Source organism: Homo sapiens, chromosome 5 (genome assembly GCF_000001405.40).
Source record: "Homo sapiens chromosome 5, GRCh38.p14 Primary Assembly".
NCBI classification, from domain to species: Eukaryota; Metazoa; Chordata; class Mammalia; order Primates; family Hominidae; genus Homo; species Homo sapiens.
Window position 1 is genome coordinate 22,072,539 of NC_000005.10, and position 18,226 is coordinate 22,090,764.

Consider the following 18,226-nt stretch of genomic DNA (forward strand, 5'->3'; position numbering starts at 1 on the left):
TGTGTGTGTGTGTGTGTGTGTGTGTGTGTTTAGGCTTTTATTATTATTATTATACTTTAAGTTATAGGGTACATGTGTACAATGTGCAGGTTTGTTACATATGTATACATGTGCCATGTTGGTGTGCTGCACCCATTAACTCGTCATTTACATTAGGTATATCTCCTAATGCTATCCCTCCCCCCTCTCCCCACCCCAGTGTGTGATGTTCCCCTTTCTGTGTCCAAGTGTTCTCATTGTTCAATTCCCACCTATTATTATAACACTTTAGTTTAATAGAGTATTGAAATGATTGTTAGCACTTAAGAGCCTGGCAGGATAATAAACCATGATATTTTCTGGTGCAATGGAGCTAGACCACCTGGTTGACATGTTAGCTTAAGCATCCACTGGGTGTTGAGATATGTGGAAGTCATTTAACTTTTCTGTGCCTCAGTTTTCTGATATGTAAAATAGCAATAATAAGAAGATCAGTCATAGTGTTCTTTTGCAGATATGTAAGTATATGTCTGTAAAGCAATTAAAATTGTGCCCAAAGGAAGCACTCAATAAAGTTTAACTTTTATAATTGTAATCTAGAGACCTTCATAGTTACATTTATTCCTATAGGCTTAATACTGTCTCAGTTGTAATGCATTCTTCATCAAAAATAGGTTAAATAAATGGATGTCTCTGAAACTAGGGTTTATATATGTTTTACTTCTTTATTTTTTGCCCTTTTAAACAGTTTAGATTTAAGAATTGCTGCTAACAGGGATTTATCTGAAATGACAACTCAATTTCCTAAATTATTCTTCGGGGATAAAAGAGGCAGCATTTCTGGATACCTAACTTGGAGGCTATGAAAAAACTTAGTACCACACAGATACAGGCTTGCAATTATCCATGTTGGTATAAGCATAAATCATGTTGGTGTGTGTATGCACACTTGTGCACATGTATATGTATGTCTGTAATAATGCAAGTGTTTTGCTTGTGGTTAGTTTGAGCAACTGGTAACATATGAAGTACAAATTTTTGCAGATAAAGTTAATTTATTTCTTACTGTACAGTATGAAAACATACTTATCTAGGTAATGTATTAAATTCACAGTGTGTATGTGAGGAAAGCTTTACCTCTGTATACCCTTGTGATTTATTTGTATACAAAGTAAAGTAACATTTTTGTTCAAGTAATAGCACAGTTTGTGCTTTCTTGCAAGGATATCAGCATGAACATCTGATTCTTTAAATACAAGGGTTGTTGAAGCTAATGTCACCCAAGTCACTCAGTTGCCTCTACAAATTTCTACATGAATACATTCTTTTAGATTTGAATGTAAGAAAACCAATTGGTCCCTAAAAATGTGGAGTTGACAATGGGAACTATACAAATTAATGATTTCCACATACGCTCTTTCTACCAAGAACCAGAAAGTCATATTCGAGGCTAAAGATAGTACAGTTGATCTTAGAACAATGTAAGTTTGAACTGCATAGGTTTACTTTATGTGGATTTTCTTCCATTTTTGTCACCTCTGAGACAGCAAGAACATCCTTCTTCTCTTCTTCCTCCTCCTCAGCCTATGCAATGTGAAGACGATGAGGATAAACAGAACAGAGCCCTCAGAAATAATGCTGCATATCTACAACTATCTGATCTTTGACAAATCTGAGAAAAACAAGAAATGGGGGAAGGATTCCCTATTTAATAAATGGTGCTGGGAAAACTGGCTAGCCACATGTAGAAAGCTGAAACTGGATCCCTTCCTTACACCTTATACAAAAGTTAATTAAAGATGGATTAAAGACTTAAATGTTAGACCTAAAACCATAAAAACCCTAGAAGAAAACCTAGGTAATACAATTCAGGACATAGGCATGGGCAAGGACTTCATGACTAAAACACCAAAAGCAATGGCAACAAAAGACAAAATTGACAAAAGGGATCTAGTTAAACTAAAGAGCTTCCGCACAGCAAAAGAAATTACCATCAGAGTGAACAGACAACCTACAGAATGGGAGAAAATTTTTGCCATCTACTCATCTGACAAAGGGCTAATATCCAGAATCTACAATGAACTCAAACAAACTTACAAGAAAACAACAACCCCATCAAAAAGTGGGCGAAGGATATGAACAGACACTTCTCAAAAGAAGACATTTATGCAGCCAAAAGACACATGAAAAAATGCTCATCATCACTGGCCATCAGAGAAATGCAAATCAAAACCACAATGAGATACCATCTCACACCAGTTAGAATGGCAATCATTAAAAAGTCAGGAAACAACAGGTGCTAGAGATGATGTGGAGAAATAGGAACACTTTTACACTGTTGGTGGGACTGTAAACTAGTTCAACCATTGTGGAAGTCAGTGTGGCAATTCCTCAGGGATCTAGAACTAGAAATACCATTTGATCCAGCCATCCCATTACTGGGTATATACCCAAAGGATTATAAAACATGGTGCTATAAAGAGACATGCACACGTATGTTTATTGTGGCACTATTCACAATAGCAAAGACTTGGAATCGACCCAAATGTCCAACAATGATAGACTGGATTAAGAAAATGTGGCACATATACACCATGGAATTCTATGCAGCCATAAAAAAGGATGAGTTCATGTCCTTTGTAGGGACATGGATGAAGCTGGAAACCATCATTCTCAGCAAACTATCGCAAGGACAAAAAACCAAACACCACATGTTCTCACTCATAGGTGGGAATTGAACAATGAGAACACTCGGACACTTGAAGGGGGAACATCACACACTGGGGCCTGTTGTGGGGTGGGGGGAGGGGGGAGGGATAGCATTAGGAGATATACCTAATGTTAAATGATGAGTTAATGGGTACAGCACACCAACATGGCACATGTATACATCTGTAACAAACCTGCACGTTGTGCACATGTACCCTAAAACTTAAAGCATAATAAAAAAAAAACTTTATGATGACCCACTTCCACTTAATGAATGGTAAATGTATTTGACTTCCTCTGATTTTCTTTATGACATTTTCTTTTCTCTAGATTCCTTTATTGTAAGAATATAGTCTATAATACATATATACATATATAAACATAACATGTTTATGTTATATGTATTCTAACATGTAAGTATGTTTTAATTGACTAGGCTATCAGTAAAGCTTTGGGTCAACAGAAGGCTACGAGTAGTTAAGTTTTGGGGGAGTCAAAAGTTTCACTTGGATTTTCAACTGTGCTGGGGAGAAGTCAGTTCTCCTAACCCCCCAAGTTGTCCAATGGTGAACTGTAGACAACTGATACTTTTCCTAGGCATTTTTGCATTAGCCCTTTTCCTTTGCTCTGAGTTCTATATTATTTATAATACTTTCCTTTTCTATGAGTAATCTCAAAGTCTTTCTGGAATGAGTGGAAGCATAAATATATTTATATGTTTATACATACATATATAATGGATTAAATTGGTCCCCATGTTATCATATTTCTATTCTCAAATCTAGAAGCATCAAGACAGAGTTAATGAAAATTTAATTAGTTTCCTGATGGAAAAGAAACCTTGGCATCCACTCTTTCATCTGCATTAGAAATGTACATTGCTTGAGAACCATGAGTGTTCATTATCCATTATCAATGTGGAGCCCTGTACCAGCGGAAATAATGCTGGTTAAATGTAATAATAGGTTAGATGTTAGACTTACTCCTTTTTAATTACATTTATAAATACTAGTTCCTCTTTTAAATAAACTGGATGAATTATACACTGTTACCGCAATTATAAAGTGGAATTTCAGAGTATCAAGCAAAAACTTGCATATACAATCCCATGGACTGTTCGGGGAGATGAAATACTACTGCTATCTAGGTTCTAATAAATGTCAGTTTTATTTTTTTAACCTAATTTCAACTTTATTACCTCCAATTCTGGAAATTGAGGTCTATCGATCTTCTCTAATCAAAAACAGAGAATTTGTCAGGAACCTCAATATGATGTCTAGCTTCTGTCATAAACAGAGTTGAAATAACTGATATCTATGTTGCAGACTTTTAGATTATGTTCCCCTTCCATTTGTCTTGGATTTCAAAATTCCATTCTTACATTAAATTAATTCAAAAGAAACAAGTATAGGAGAACCACATGAAATTATCTTACCATAGAAATGTTAGTGATTGTTATATTCCACAATCATATTTGAGGAATTATATAAGCAGAAGCTTTATGCAGTAACCTCCGGGGACTTCCATATTTTGGAGTGACTTCCTCAAAATTTTCCAAGACCTTTTATGTGACTAAGGCTATCTGTGGGTGGCAATGTGATCTGAGAAGGTCATTCTGGTCTAGGCTGGAAATGTTTGGGTCTCAGTGTCCATTTATCGTTTGGGGCTCACTTTGACATTCTACTCAACCTACAGGTTCATAAGTGCCCTGTGGATCTTTAGGGATTGCACTATGAGGTTGGCCCCGTGCCACTTGAACAGCCCCTGACTCCTGGTAGGCAGCCTGTAAAGGAGATAGTTCATAGTTCTTGCTTAATGGCAGTGTGTGTGTGTGTGTGTGTGTGTGTGTGTGCGCGTGTGTATTTGTAAGATCACTGAGACTGGATGACCAGAATGGTACTTATGGGCTGATTTGATTTGGGGTGACTCAATTTTTAAACATAGATAGGTGCCCTGCAAAAATCATTTGCCTGGGACCACATATGCCTTAGTGGAAACTCTGGTTATATGTCCCTTTCAACAAAGTTTCTATTTAAAGAACTTTTCCACTGTATAATTTAATATCCTTTAAATACATTTCCACAATGTAATTTATTTTAAGTGTGGTAGAAATAATTCAGATCTTAAATGAATATTCCTCCTTTGACCTAATATTGGAATCATACAACCTATTATATATCTCTTTAGTTTATGTTTTCAGAAAGCTCAAGGGATTTGCTGCTCAAGAGTCATGATCTTCTATAACCATTTCCAAACACTCTTCCTATGATGGTTTTCCAATTATGACTTTGGATTTATTTTAAACTCTCCTCAAGCATCAATTTTTCTTTATCAAAACCCATGGCAATATCTTTTACAAAACTTAAAAAGAATTCACAAAATCAAAATAAAATATAATACTTATTTTTGGGGAAATTTTTTTTTGGTGTGGTGGACAAGTTATACTGTTCTAGACATGGGTGAAAACAATTTAATGGAAAAAAAAGCAGTAAAACATAACTGTCCTGAAACAGATAGTTGCCACCGAGTATTTTGTGAAAAAAATTAAATTTCCATAAAGTTGCAATAAGATATTTAAATTGCATGCTCTGTTGATGTGTACATATTTGGGTTCCAAAATTTATTACTTCAGCCATAAAGACACTTATAAATATCTGCTGAAAATATATAAATTATTTATAAAGCTTAAGCAAGCCAAATCGAATACTTCAGAACCACAATCCAAATGGCACATCACATTTTAACGGGAAAGGAGAAGAAATACATTCTTGTCATTAAAGAACACCAAGATCAGTTTAGATTATTTATGCCTGGTGATTCTTCTCTGTGTCTCTTATTGCTAAATATCTCCAATTTGGCTGTGAGCAATAAAAATGATATAACTATACTGATACTATACTTCTAACTATGGTTATAATTATGCTTAATAACATTTTCATACTTTAACTTCATGTCTTCAGCAAAGAATGTCAAAAATTGAACGAAATATATACTATTTTCATTAAAATAATCAGGAAGAATTAAAGCAAAGAGGGTTTAAATGATATTCTGAAGCTTACCCGGGCCATTGAGTCAGGAAGATAAACCAGGTCTCTTGGATTTCAATTCCAGTGTTCTAGTCACTGGTTTGTTCAACTCCTGTGCAAAACATCCATACAAAATACACAATGCATATTCCCCCTTCCTATCAAGCGGTTGTCAAAAGAAATACGCCATTACCTTTCCCACATACTGAGGCTCGGAGCCCACGTATTCTTCCAGCACAAAAAATTGATTCCATACCCAGCCACGTTTAACACGTTGGAAATGTGACCGTTGTCCTGGCAGATGGATAACATTTTCTCTTGGCTCTGTGGCTAAAGTCTGCTGTGGCTGTGGTTGTAGTGGTGTTAGGAGACCTCCATCAAACAGAACCCAGAGAAGCAGGGATAAACAGTTCCTTGTAAGCATTGGCAAAGGCTTTCCTACAGCAGAGTAATAAAAACTCCAACACTTAACGTAGAATTGTGGAATCCAGGTTTGAGGTGTCTGTGGCCTCCACCACTTAGCTTCTTGTTTTATTGCAGAAATGATGATGCAGGCATTAATCCTTTTGATGAAAAGGCTTCTGCTGTATTATATTCCATCTAAAGGGGCCTATGAAATAGATGAACAAAGATACATTAAATTAATGAAATTGCATGATGATATTCATCACAACGCTCATTATATCTGCCAACATTTAAGGAAACCGAGAAGAAAGACTATAAAAGAATTATATTAGTAAACGGTCACCGCTATTCAACATTTTAACTTGGATAAATTATCTGAGTTTTTCACAGACTTGAGAAAATATTAGTTACAATGAAGCAAAAGGTGCATTATAAACAGAAATGATATTTTCAAAAAATTGGCAAATCATTTTAAGGAGAAAAATACAGACCACTATTTTAAAGTGAGCTATTAAGTTAGAGTAGGATCTTGCAACTTCAGCATTATTGACATCTTAGGGTTGATAATTCATTATTGCTGGGAAGCTATTTTGTGCATTTTAAGATTTCTAGTAGCACTTTTTTCTTCTACTTAATAGATGACAGTAGCACCCCTTCCCATATCTGGTTTGTGACAAGAAAAAAGTATCTCCAGACATTGCCATATATCCCCTAGGGGAGCAAAAAATGCCAAAATTAAGAACCACAATGTAGAGAATAAAGAAAACAATTTTTAAAAAGCAAAAAGTTCCTGAAGTTAGAGAATAGAAAGATACAGACGATCTAAAGAACAAGATAAATTATTAAATGTAAAAGCGAATCATCTTACTAAAATGTAAATGATGGATACAATGTTTTAAGTCTTTATAAATTTAAATTTTCTTTAAAAATGTTTCTCTAGCCTGGATATACCAGAAACCTTGACAATGTGAGTATTACTTTATAGACGTTGTGTAGCTCAGAGAAAAGCTGGATCCCTACCAGATGCAGAGCTTTTACTCTGCATTTAGATAAAATGACCTTTGAACTTTTTCTTATAACAAGCGTTTTTAAATTCACTTATCTAATATTCATTGAGTGTCTATAACACACTGTCTTTAATTATGTGGTAGATAAAAAAACAGACACAATCTTTGCCTCTCTAAAATCACAAACAAAAAATAAACAGTCAAATAAATAACTGAGGGCAGATTATGCAAATGGAAAAAAAAAAAGCAAACAAGAATATCCTGAGGGTAAAACCTACGTTAGCAAAACCTGTTGTAGGTGATAATTGCACTGAGGTCTAAAGGAATAAAAGCATTCCTATATTTTCTAAGCAGGCATGATGAAACGTGGCTCTAGAACAAGGGTGATTTTATGCATTTGGCACTAGGGTCACAGTGCTTCGAGCCTATAAGGTTTCTAAAGGCCGAAAACGTTGGAAGCCAGAAAATATATATAATGCTTCCAAAACAAGAGAACTAAAATCAAATCAATGCATGTTTAATTAAATGTCTATAAAACATGGTGTTTTTGTCAACTAGTCAGCTGCAGTTCAGAACAATGTGTATTCACTTATGTGTAATGTAATAAAAACATTTAATGAGTTCTTTATAAATATTGAAATTTAAACATTAAATGTGGAAATAGTAATTCACCATACTTGAGATAAGATATGAGATGAGGAGTGTCCAAAAGTTATACTCTGAAAGTATTTTATAGGGCAAACCTAAAAAAAATAAAATAAAACCGGATATAAATTTTTTTCTTCTTTATAAGAGTGTAACTGTAACTGTTAGATATTGACAAAACCGTAAGTTGTCTTTTTTTGCATCTTTTCATTCTGACAAAATAATATTTATAAAAAGTTAAGTTAGATCTGCCTTGTCCAATATGGAAACCTCTAGTCACATGTGCCTTTTTAGTTAAAAATTGGCAATTTGGGATCATGATGTGCTCTACTTTTAAATTATATGTTGAATTTCAAAGACAGTACAAAAAATAGGAAGGTATCTTTTTTTTTATCACTTGACATGATATTTTGGATATGTTAGGATAAATAAATACACATTATTAAAATTAATTTTGCTTCTTTCTTTCTTTTTTCTTTTTCTTTTTTTTGATGGAGTCTTGCTGTGTCTCCCAGGCTGGAGCGCAGTGGCGTAATCTCAGCTCATTGCAATCTCCGCCTCCTGGGTTCAACTGATTCTTCTGACTCAGCCTCCCGAGTAGCTGGGACTATAGGTGCGTGCCACCACACCCGGCTAATTTTTTTTATTTTTAGTAGAGACGGGGTTTCACCATGTTGGCCAGGATGATCTCGATCTCCTGACCTCATGATCCACCTGCCTCAGCCTCCCAACGTGCTGGGATTACAGGCGTGAGCCACCTCGCTTGGCCTCTTTCCAATTTTTTAATGTGCTTACTAGAAAATTAACATTTGATATGCAACTCACATTTACATTTTGAATTATTTTCAATTGGACAGCACTGATTTAGACAATACAGTTTGAATCACAAACTGTGATTTCTATTTAAGCAATTTATTCTTAACATTCAAAGTAAAATATCTAACATGAACTCCATCACGTTTGCGGTAAAAATACGTTAGAAAGTCAGAGAATCTTTTGCATCTATTTCAATAACGTGTAAGCATGGTAATGTATTTTTTTCTCATTTGTTTTTAAGTTTAAATTGCTAGGGTTAACCTCCAAGGTGTATTAATTTCTTAAATTTTTTGTTTCTTCCATGTTTCATCCCATACTCATACCAATCCTATTCCAAGCATATCAGTTCAGATTGGGAGATAAATACAAGGAGAAAAATGGGTGACAGAAACTCTGACTTCCCAAATCTATTCTAGAATATGCCATTAGGTTGCATTTCTGCCTTCCTGTTCTATTAAACCTTTTCTTTCACTATTTTGGGGATGTGAGGTATCAACACTCAGACTTTAGAGAACACTGACATCTAAGGTCATCTCTCAAGACAAGTGTCTTTTTATTGTATATTAGAGATTTTTGAGGTTGGACATATGACAACATTCATCATCATTGCCGCCAGTCTGGTCCAAATTCTCCTTTTCGCTTAGAAGTCAAATGTGTCTAAAATCTGAGCTGTGGCTCCCTACCAGAGTAATCTTGCAGAAGTTTCCATCCACTCACATCACTTTCCATCTGTTGATTGTGCTAGAATATGTGTCTATAGTGTGGAAAAATTAGTGAATAAGTGATTGGTAATTAGAGAGAAACATAAATTTAACATGCAAAGTGCAGTAGTCCCCATTTATATGTGAAGAATGTGTTCCAAAACCCCCAGGAAATGCCTGAAACCAAGGATAGTACCGAAGCTGTTATCTGTCAATCTGAACACATCTCTGTTTATGTCTTCCACCCACAAATTTTATACTTTTTCCATCTTAACTAAGCCCATATCATGGGACTGTAACTTTTGCAGTTTTGGGAGGTGGGACAGCAAAACTAGAAGGGGTTTCTTTTTCATTCTTCACAATTTCATGGAGAGGTTTATTCTTACCATAGCAACCTCAGCATATGATTTATTTTCTTTCCTTATTAAGTAGAGAACTTTCACCTTTTCACATAAAAGGAAGACTTTATGGCTTCTCTTTGGCATATCCAAGTTGCCAGCATCACTATTCTTGCACTTTGGGGCCATTATTAAGTAACCTAGGCTTTCTTGAACATAAGCACTCGATACTGTGACAGTCAGTCTGCTAACCAAGAAGGCTAAGTGACTCATGGGTAGGGAGTGTCTACCTCTTGAATCCACTGCACAAAGAGACTATACACATCCCAGGTGGGACAGAAGTATATGGTGCAAAATTTCATCATGCTACTCTAAATGGTGCACAGTTCAAACCTTATAAATTGTTTATTTCTGTAGGTTTTTATTTAATATTTTTGGACTGCAGTTGATCACCGGTTACTGAAACCATGGAAAATGACGCAGGATAAGGGGTGACTACTGTGTGTTGTTTCATAAGCTAATTCACCAACACATAAACAGTTTGCATCAGGAAACAACAGCAGCTAAATGCAAACTATGGTAATAAAGCTGAAGTTAACTGGAGCCACAGAGGAGTGCAACGTAGAACATGATGCCCATTTCCCTCAGGCCCACATTCTGTTCTTACTTTGGCTCTTGTTGGACACAAATTCTATCATACTGTGCTGTGTTTCTTCCAGATTTTTATGCATTTCTCTCTCAAAGTAGGCTGAACTTTACTTGTATCCATGTTATCAAATTACCTTCTTTTTTAAGAGTAGAATTTTATGTTTACTAGATATTTATTTAGCAATAGTTTATTTTTGCTGATATTTTCATTGGGATGGTGATTGCTAGTGGCAATTGCATGAGTTTTGGGGATCTGCACATATCTTTTTTCTCTATGAGCTCTGTTATTTTAATATGAATTTTGCAGAATGCAGAGCTTTTAAAAAACTTGCATATCACACTTAGCAGAAGCACTTGTAATTAAAAACATAAAACTTTCTCCTTGCACGTATTAAAATCCAGAACTTTAATATGACATTTACGAATTTAACAAGGCCTGCATAATCGACCTCTGCATGTTCAACCCTTGCCATTCTCTTCCTTTCCTGAGTCCAAACTCCTTAGTTTTAACTCATGTTAATAACAGTAATAACAGTAATTTATATTAGGAGTGTACTCATGTGATTATTTGTTTACTCTTTTCTGGGTGGAGTGGTGGCGTAAAGAGAAGCTAGGGAGGAGTAATGATGCCTATTTTATCAGCCATTCTGTTCCTGGGGTCTACACTATTACCTGGCAAATTGTAGGCACCAAGTACATCTTTGTTAAGTTTGAATGAATAATTCATTGAATGGTAATAGCTAACCTTTATTGAAAACTTACAATGTTCTACATAGTGTTGTATGTTCTATGCCTATATAACAGCCCTGTGAAGGAGGTGGTATTATTACACCCATTTGACAGAAGAAATGGAGGAACAGAGATGTTAAGTGACTTGACCATGATCTACATGTTAGTACATAGCAGGCAGGCTTGAATCTGGGCAGTCTGACTACAGAGCTCATACTCTTGGATCCTCTACGGTGTTGCCCCTCTGTTAATAGATATAAAAATACACAAAACCTCAGGGGTTTCCAATCCTAGTAAAACAAGGAATATGTGCCCGCAAACTTGAGTTTCAAGTTATTTTTCAAAACCTAAGCAGGTATTTCAATACTGGGCAGCTTAAGCTTTCAGACTCATTTAGCTCTTTTGTAAAATTAGGAGATTTAAGCTATCAGGTCAATATAGTTCCTCTGAAGTCCAGAGATCCAAGACTCCCAGCTTTCCACCCACAAAGATCTGGGAAGGACATAATTTTAGGCAGAGGTAGGAAATAATAGACATGGTCACTGTTCTCATAGGATTGCACAGTGACTGAAAATTCAGAAAGTGCTCCAACAGCCCATCAAGGCACTAAACAGGTCACCAGGTTGAGTGATAAGAAATAGCTGTTGTACAGAAAAGAGGGTATGAGGGTTTCCAACTGTTCCAGGGAGCTCTTCCTAGTGATCTTGAACTGTGGATGTAGTTCTGGGGTCCGATAGATGAGATGGCAGCCTGTTTGACCTACCTGACAATTCTACATTTGAGGATTGCTTCTGGCATTGATATTATTAAAAATAAATAAATTACTTAATGGATTAATAAAAATATTGACTTTGGAACAAGAAAGATCTGAAGTATCATTTTACATGAATTCACAGCATAGTTTTATGCTAAGTAACTATCTGTTAAGTAGCATTTGAACTGTGAGGACACAATCAACAATGGTCTTTTATTTGTGGAGCTATACAATAAATATGACTAAGTAAATATTTTTCAATCTCATCCCTCAATGAGAACGTGTGTGAGTGCATTTCCTCACTCCTGTCATTGTTTTATAATCCTAAAATCCATTTCAAGTCTCTATAACACTACAGTCCTTCAGTGAACAGATGAACCAATGTTATTTTCAGTACAGGATGCTGCTCCCAGCAGATCCCAGACTCTGGCCACGGTTGTCAGCCAGGGAGCTTTTAAAGTGCTATATCACAACAATAATAATGCAAGGAGATTGAAGGACTCCAGTTCTTAAGTGAAAGGCAAACAACTCCCCCAGGCATGAAACACAGGCTAAATTACAAGGAAAAACTATATCAAGCCATCAACCTGGGTATACTTGCCCCAGCACCAATGGTGTTGTTATAAAAGCAAGAACAGAAAGCTTATTCTGGGAGGTCAGTACCCTATGGAAATATGTGAACCTTAAGGAAGACAGATTTGCTACAAAGGACATCACCAGAAGTAGGTTGTATTCCATATACCTGATTTCAGGTACAGTGATAAAATATTTATATTTGTCTATGCTTCCTCATCTTTTGTAGAGCCAGAGTGACTTTTCAAAGACTTCTTAACTCGGATGATGACTCTCTGGAGCCCAACATCCCTTTTAGCAGGAGGGATTTTTTTTTTTAAATGGTCATATATCAAAGCAGCAGATATTTAGTTGTGAAATACTCACTGACAGTAACACTTCCTTGAAGTGTGCCTCCAAAGCTAAAAGATATACAAAGGCTGTGGTTTCCCTAGTTATTTATTTAAATGGGGAGTGTTTGCTTTTAAGAATAACTCCTGAAAAAGGGCAAATATATTCAATATAAATTACATTGAAAGGGTTCTCTTTGTCAGGGACAACTTATTAAGCTGAAAGACTTGTTAATTATTAAAAGGTGTTCTCTATTATGGGTAGCATTCTAATACTAACTGCATATTGGAGAACTCTTTAATGGTGACTATGCTTGTGGTCTATTTTAAATTAATATTCTATGGAGTAATTTTTCAAGGGCACTTCTTAAAATTTAAAAGGAAAATAATACAACCTCCCCCACCTCCTCTTGTGAATAGGTGGCCCTTTAATTTGAAATAGTAATCAAAAGTGATCCCCATTGAACAATATAAGGGAAGGCTTTATTTTCCATATTATTAAAAAAAATCAATGGCAGCATAACTTACGTAATCCAAAAAATATTAAAATGTCAACAATATGCTTTATATTTTTTAATGTTATTCTTCACCTTGAAAACATTATTTTATTTGACTTAACTTCATAAATTAAGCTTTCTGCTTCCTATTGTATGAAATGCATTATAATCAGTAAATATTTAAAGACTTCAAGCAAATCTGATAGTTTAAGAATATGACTCCCAGGAAAATTATTTGAAGGTTTCAACAGGCACTGTTATGCAAATTTTAAGCTTTGTTCAGGAAAACATGGTACTTTTTGAAAAGCCTTGGGAATGAGCATACATCCCTAATGCAGCTTTTTTGGTTCCAGTTAAACCTATCCCAAAATGACATATGACTCTCTCTCTGGTATAGCAAACCCTTAACACTCACTCTTTTGTTTTATAGACTGCCTGCTGAGAAGCAGACATAGTAAACCAATCTCTGCTAATTCTTATCAGCAAAACAGAGGTGTCTGTAGATGATTATTACTCAATGATCTTAACTTATGGGGTTCATTAATCCTGCCTCTCTGGCTTGTCCAGATTCTACTCCCTACTTCTCAAGTATGTTAGGAAGCCAAAATATGCTATTTGAATTTTATTTATATATTTATTTATTTATTTATTTTTTATTATTATTTTTTGAGACGGAGTCTCACTCTGTCACCCGGGCTGGAGTGCAGTGGCGTGATCTCGTCTCATTCCAGCCTCCGCCTCCCGGGTTTAAACAATTCTCTGCCTCAGCCTCCTGAGTAGCTGGGATTACAGGCACGTGCCAACAAGTCCCACTAATTTGTTTTTTGTTTGTTTGTTTGTTTGTTTGTTTTTTGCATTTTTAGTATCTTGGCCAGGCTGGCATTGAACTCCTGACCTTGTGATCCACCCGCCTTGGCCTCCCAAAGTGCTGGGATTACAGGCGTGAGCCACCGTGCCCGGCCCGAATTTTAACTGATATGAAAATGGCTGCTACTAGTTTTACTGAAATGAAAATGGCTGCTACTGGTATCTCCTACAAGCCAAGAAAAAAAAAATGTTAAAAAAAAAAGAAACTCAACATGGGACATCTTTCCAGTACTTTATGGCAAGAGACAGAATCTCTCTCTTTAAGGAGAAAAGAAATCGATCACATCTTTATTTTTGTGGTGTGATTTTAACTGCATTGTTTGAAAACCCTTGACAGTGTATTCTGAAATTGATAATTTACCTCTGTGGTCTTTCACCCAAAAATCCATAACCCCATTCTAATCATAAGACAAGTCTCAATTGAGAGATGTCCTATAAAATGCCTCACTAGTACTTCTTAAAATGGTGAAAGTTGCTGAAAATAAGAAAAATCTGAGAAACTGTCAAAGCCAAGAGGAGCTTAAGCAGACAGGACAACTAAATGCAATGGAGGGGATCCTGGAATATTAAAATAATCATAGGTAATAATTAAGGAAACCTGAAGAAAATATGGACTTTAGATAATAATAATGTATCAGTATTGGTTATTCACCTGTAAGAAGTATACTATCCTAATATAAGATGTACAGAAGAGGGGAAACTGGGACTCAGTTATGGCTAAAATAAGGTACAATCTACTTTCTGTCAGACACTGAACGAGTTTACAAGAAGTGATGTGACAAGAATGGGGAAAAAAGGTCGGGTGTGATGGCTCACACCTCTAATCCCAACACTCTGTGGGGCCGAGGCAAGCAGATCACTTGAGGCCAGGAGTTCGAGACCAGCCTGGCCAACATGGTGAAACCCTGTCTCTACTAAAAAATACAAAAATTTGCTTGGTGTGGTGGCACACACCTGTAGTCCCAGCTGCTTGGGAGGCTGAGGCAGGAGAATTGCCTGAACCCAGAAAGCAAAGGTTGCAGTGCGCCGCAATCATGCCACTGCACTCCAGCCTGGGTGACAGAGTGAGACTTTGTCTCAAAAAAAGAAAAAAAAGAATGGGAAAAAAATAATTTGAGTCCTATTTAGACATTGCTTTGTAATGTATAGAAATCTTCATAAAAATTCAAGATCTCCATTTTGATTATTTAACCATGTGTTGAAGAAGGATAACTGTGATGGAAAATACTTTGAATTTTCAAACTGCATTCAAATTCTGTATCAACAAAATAATGGAAAATGCTCCTACAGGGATAGATTTAAGAAAGTTTCCAGAAAGCCACCCACTGGGGATTGATGGTGAGCTGCTCAGAAAATCAGCTCAGAGTAAGTTTGGAGAAAATTCCAGTTGTAGTAATACCATCAAAATTGTCTGAAGCCACTTAGACTCTATCATACCCCTGTGTGATCTTTCTGAATTCCCAATTTTATGTAGTTAATCGGGACTGAATTTAAAAAAATGATGATAGGTGCATTCTGAGAGTGAAATTTAAAAGTAGGATGCAATGCTTCTGGAATGGCAGAGTAAAGAGTTATGCTGACATTCTACACAGCAAAGCAGCAAGTTCACTGAGACAATTATTTAATAATTATCATTTAAAGTCTCTAGAAATGGTCTTAAGTGTATTCAGCAAACAAAATAACACTCATTGCCAGCTGTGTTTCTCATCCTTCTTGCCAGTCCTGAGTTGTAGAAACACTATTTCTAGTGGGTGTGGAGGAGAGAACCAAGACTTCCTTTTCCCCAGCCCCTCTCAGAGGATAAAAGCTCTGTTTCAGACCCACCAAGTCAAGCATACTGGGACCTCCTCTCCTTGCCTTAGGTTTCTTGTAGAGCAGAAATTCCACATTCGTAGGGGTAAATGAGAAGACTAAGGACTACAATCCCTATCACCACCACCACTACTACCACCAATGCCCCCTTAAAAAGGGAAGGTATCACTACAGGGTATGAGGGTCCCAACTCCCAGTGTTGTTGCATTGGTATAGACATTCCTCTCAGGGGAAACAGAGGCCAAAAGGACAAAGGGCTCTACAGCTTTGTCTCAGGGGGCATACTTTATTTGGACAGAGTGTAAACTCCTTGTCTGATGTTGAAAGTAGTAAAAACCCAGCAGGTAGCAATTATGAGGAAGCTGGTGGCTCTGTGATACACGCAAAGGGACAATCAAGAAGACCTCTCATGGGACCAAGATCAACTCTGGAAATTGGTAAGGTAATTTATACACAGTAAGCCTTGCTTTCTTACTACCAACCACCGCATGGCATGAGGCAGTTGTGAAAGTGTCCCCCAAGGTAAACACAAAACTTTTGATGTGGCAGGAGCCCCACCTGCACAAAGGGCTTAAATAAAACTTCATACCAAATACTGACTGAACAACATGCTACTCTGACTCAGACGCAGCAGTACAATGGTAAAAAGTAAAAATCTAACTGGCTACGGGGGCTTACAAACAGCCATTGACCAGCAGGCTGTTTACACTGACATTAGACAATGTCATATGTGGCCATGATTAAAGATAGAAAACAGAAAAATTCTGAGCAGGCAGAGGCTGAAAACTGTGGGGGTAAAAGATTCCGCAAAATGAGTTCATCCAATTCACTAAGAGATAAATGACCAAGCAAATAACAACAACCCCCAGGAAAGGGACTGGTGGTTCAGTAATTAGAACTGTTAGAATATAGTATTTATAAAGTCAATTTTCCACAATGTTAAGACATGCAAGGAAACAGAAAAATGGGATCCACACACTGGGATGGGGGGAAATCAGAGAAACTAGTTATTGAAGGAGCCTAGACAGTGGACTTGGCAAGCAAAAATGTCAAAGTAACATTATAAACATCTTGAAAGAACCAAATGTAACAATGCATAAAGAATTAAAGGAAGGAAGACAGTTGATAATATCTCATCAAATGAAAATGTTATTAAAAAGATAATTTACTTTTTAAATGCCACATGGCAATTACAGAGATGAAAAATAGAATAACAGAAATGAAAACATTTACTAGAGGAGCTCAACACTAGATTTGATCTGGGAGAAGAAATAACCAAGATTAAAATTTTACCACATACCTTCTTCATCTAAGATATAATTACATTAAAAATCAACTGCAGAAAAAAAATTTCGGTACATTTTAGAACTACAGAAGAAAATATGAGAATTTCTGTAACTGGGGAAATTAAAAGGTGAAAAAGTCAAACAATGCCGTCTAAAATAACCAATTATTTAAAGAATAAAGTATAGGGAAATTTTAAAAAAATGAGATTAATTAAAACTAGAATAGAACATACAAATGTATGTAACAAAGCAGTGAGCATAAGGAGATTTATAACTGTAAGTGCCTACATTTAAAAATTCTCAAATCAATAATTTAACCACCCCAATAAGAAAGAAGAAAAAAAGAAGAGCAAACTAAACTCAAAACAATCAGAAGTAGTAAAGATAAAGACTGAAGTGGAAATTAATAATGTAAAGAATGAAAACAATAGATAAAATAAACACACCAAATTGTTCCTTTGAAAGGATTAACAAAATTAACAAATGCTTAGTTATAATTATTACAAAAAATGAAATTACTAAAATCAGTAAAGAAGAAACATCACTATCAACCTTCTAACAATTAAAAAACGTACTATAACAAATACCATGAACAACTTTATGCCAACAAATTAAACAACATTGATGAAATGGACACATTTTTAGAAAGACAAAAATTAATAATATTACCTCAAAGGTTTAGAAGCCCTGATTAGGACTATAACACATAAAGAGATCAAATTAGCAATTTCAAAAACTTCCCACCAAGAAAATTTCAGAACAAGATGTCTTCACTGTTGAATTCTATCAAACATTTCAATAATAATTAATATAAAACCTCTGTAAACTCAAAAAAAAAAAAAAGAAGTTGAGGGAACATACCCTGACTTATTCTATGCGACCTTTAACATTACAATACTGAAATCCAACCAACACTTGACAAGATAAACACACACACATACATACATACACACACACACACACACACACCCTCCTGAATACCAATATCCCTTATGAATATAAATGTAAGAATTCTCAACACAGTTCTGGCACAGCAAATCCAGCAAAATACGAAAGAGATTATACACTATGACCAAATGGGATTTATCTTATTACTGCAATGTTG

General features: G+C 35.8%; 1 protein-coding gene across 9 annotated transcripts in view; it reads right to left on the minus strand.

Annotated features, from left to right (window-relative positions):
• Nucleotides 1–18,226, minus strand: part of CDH12 (cadherin 12) — a 1,102,672-nt gene that overhangs the window by 321,866 nt on the left and 762,580 nt on the right. For all 9 annotated transcript variants that reach the window (NM_001364104.2, NM_004061.5, NM_001364106.2 and 6 more), the window contains 1 exon segment: nucleotides 5,908–6,324. In NM_001364104.2, the coding sequence (NP_001351033.1) occupies nucleotides 5,908–6,138 (231 nt within the window). In that variant the 5' untranslated portion in view covers nucleotides 6,139–6,324.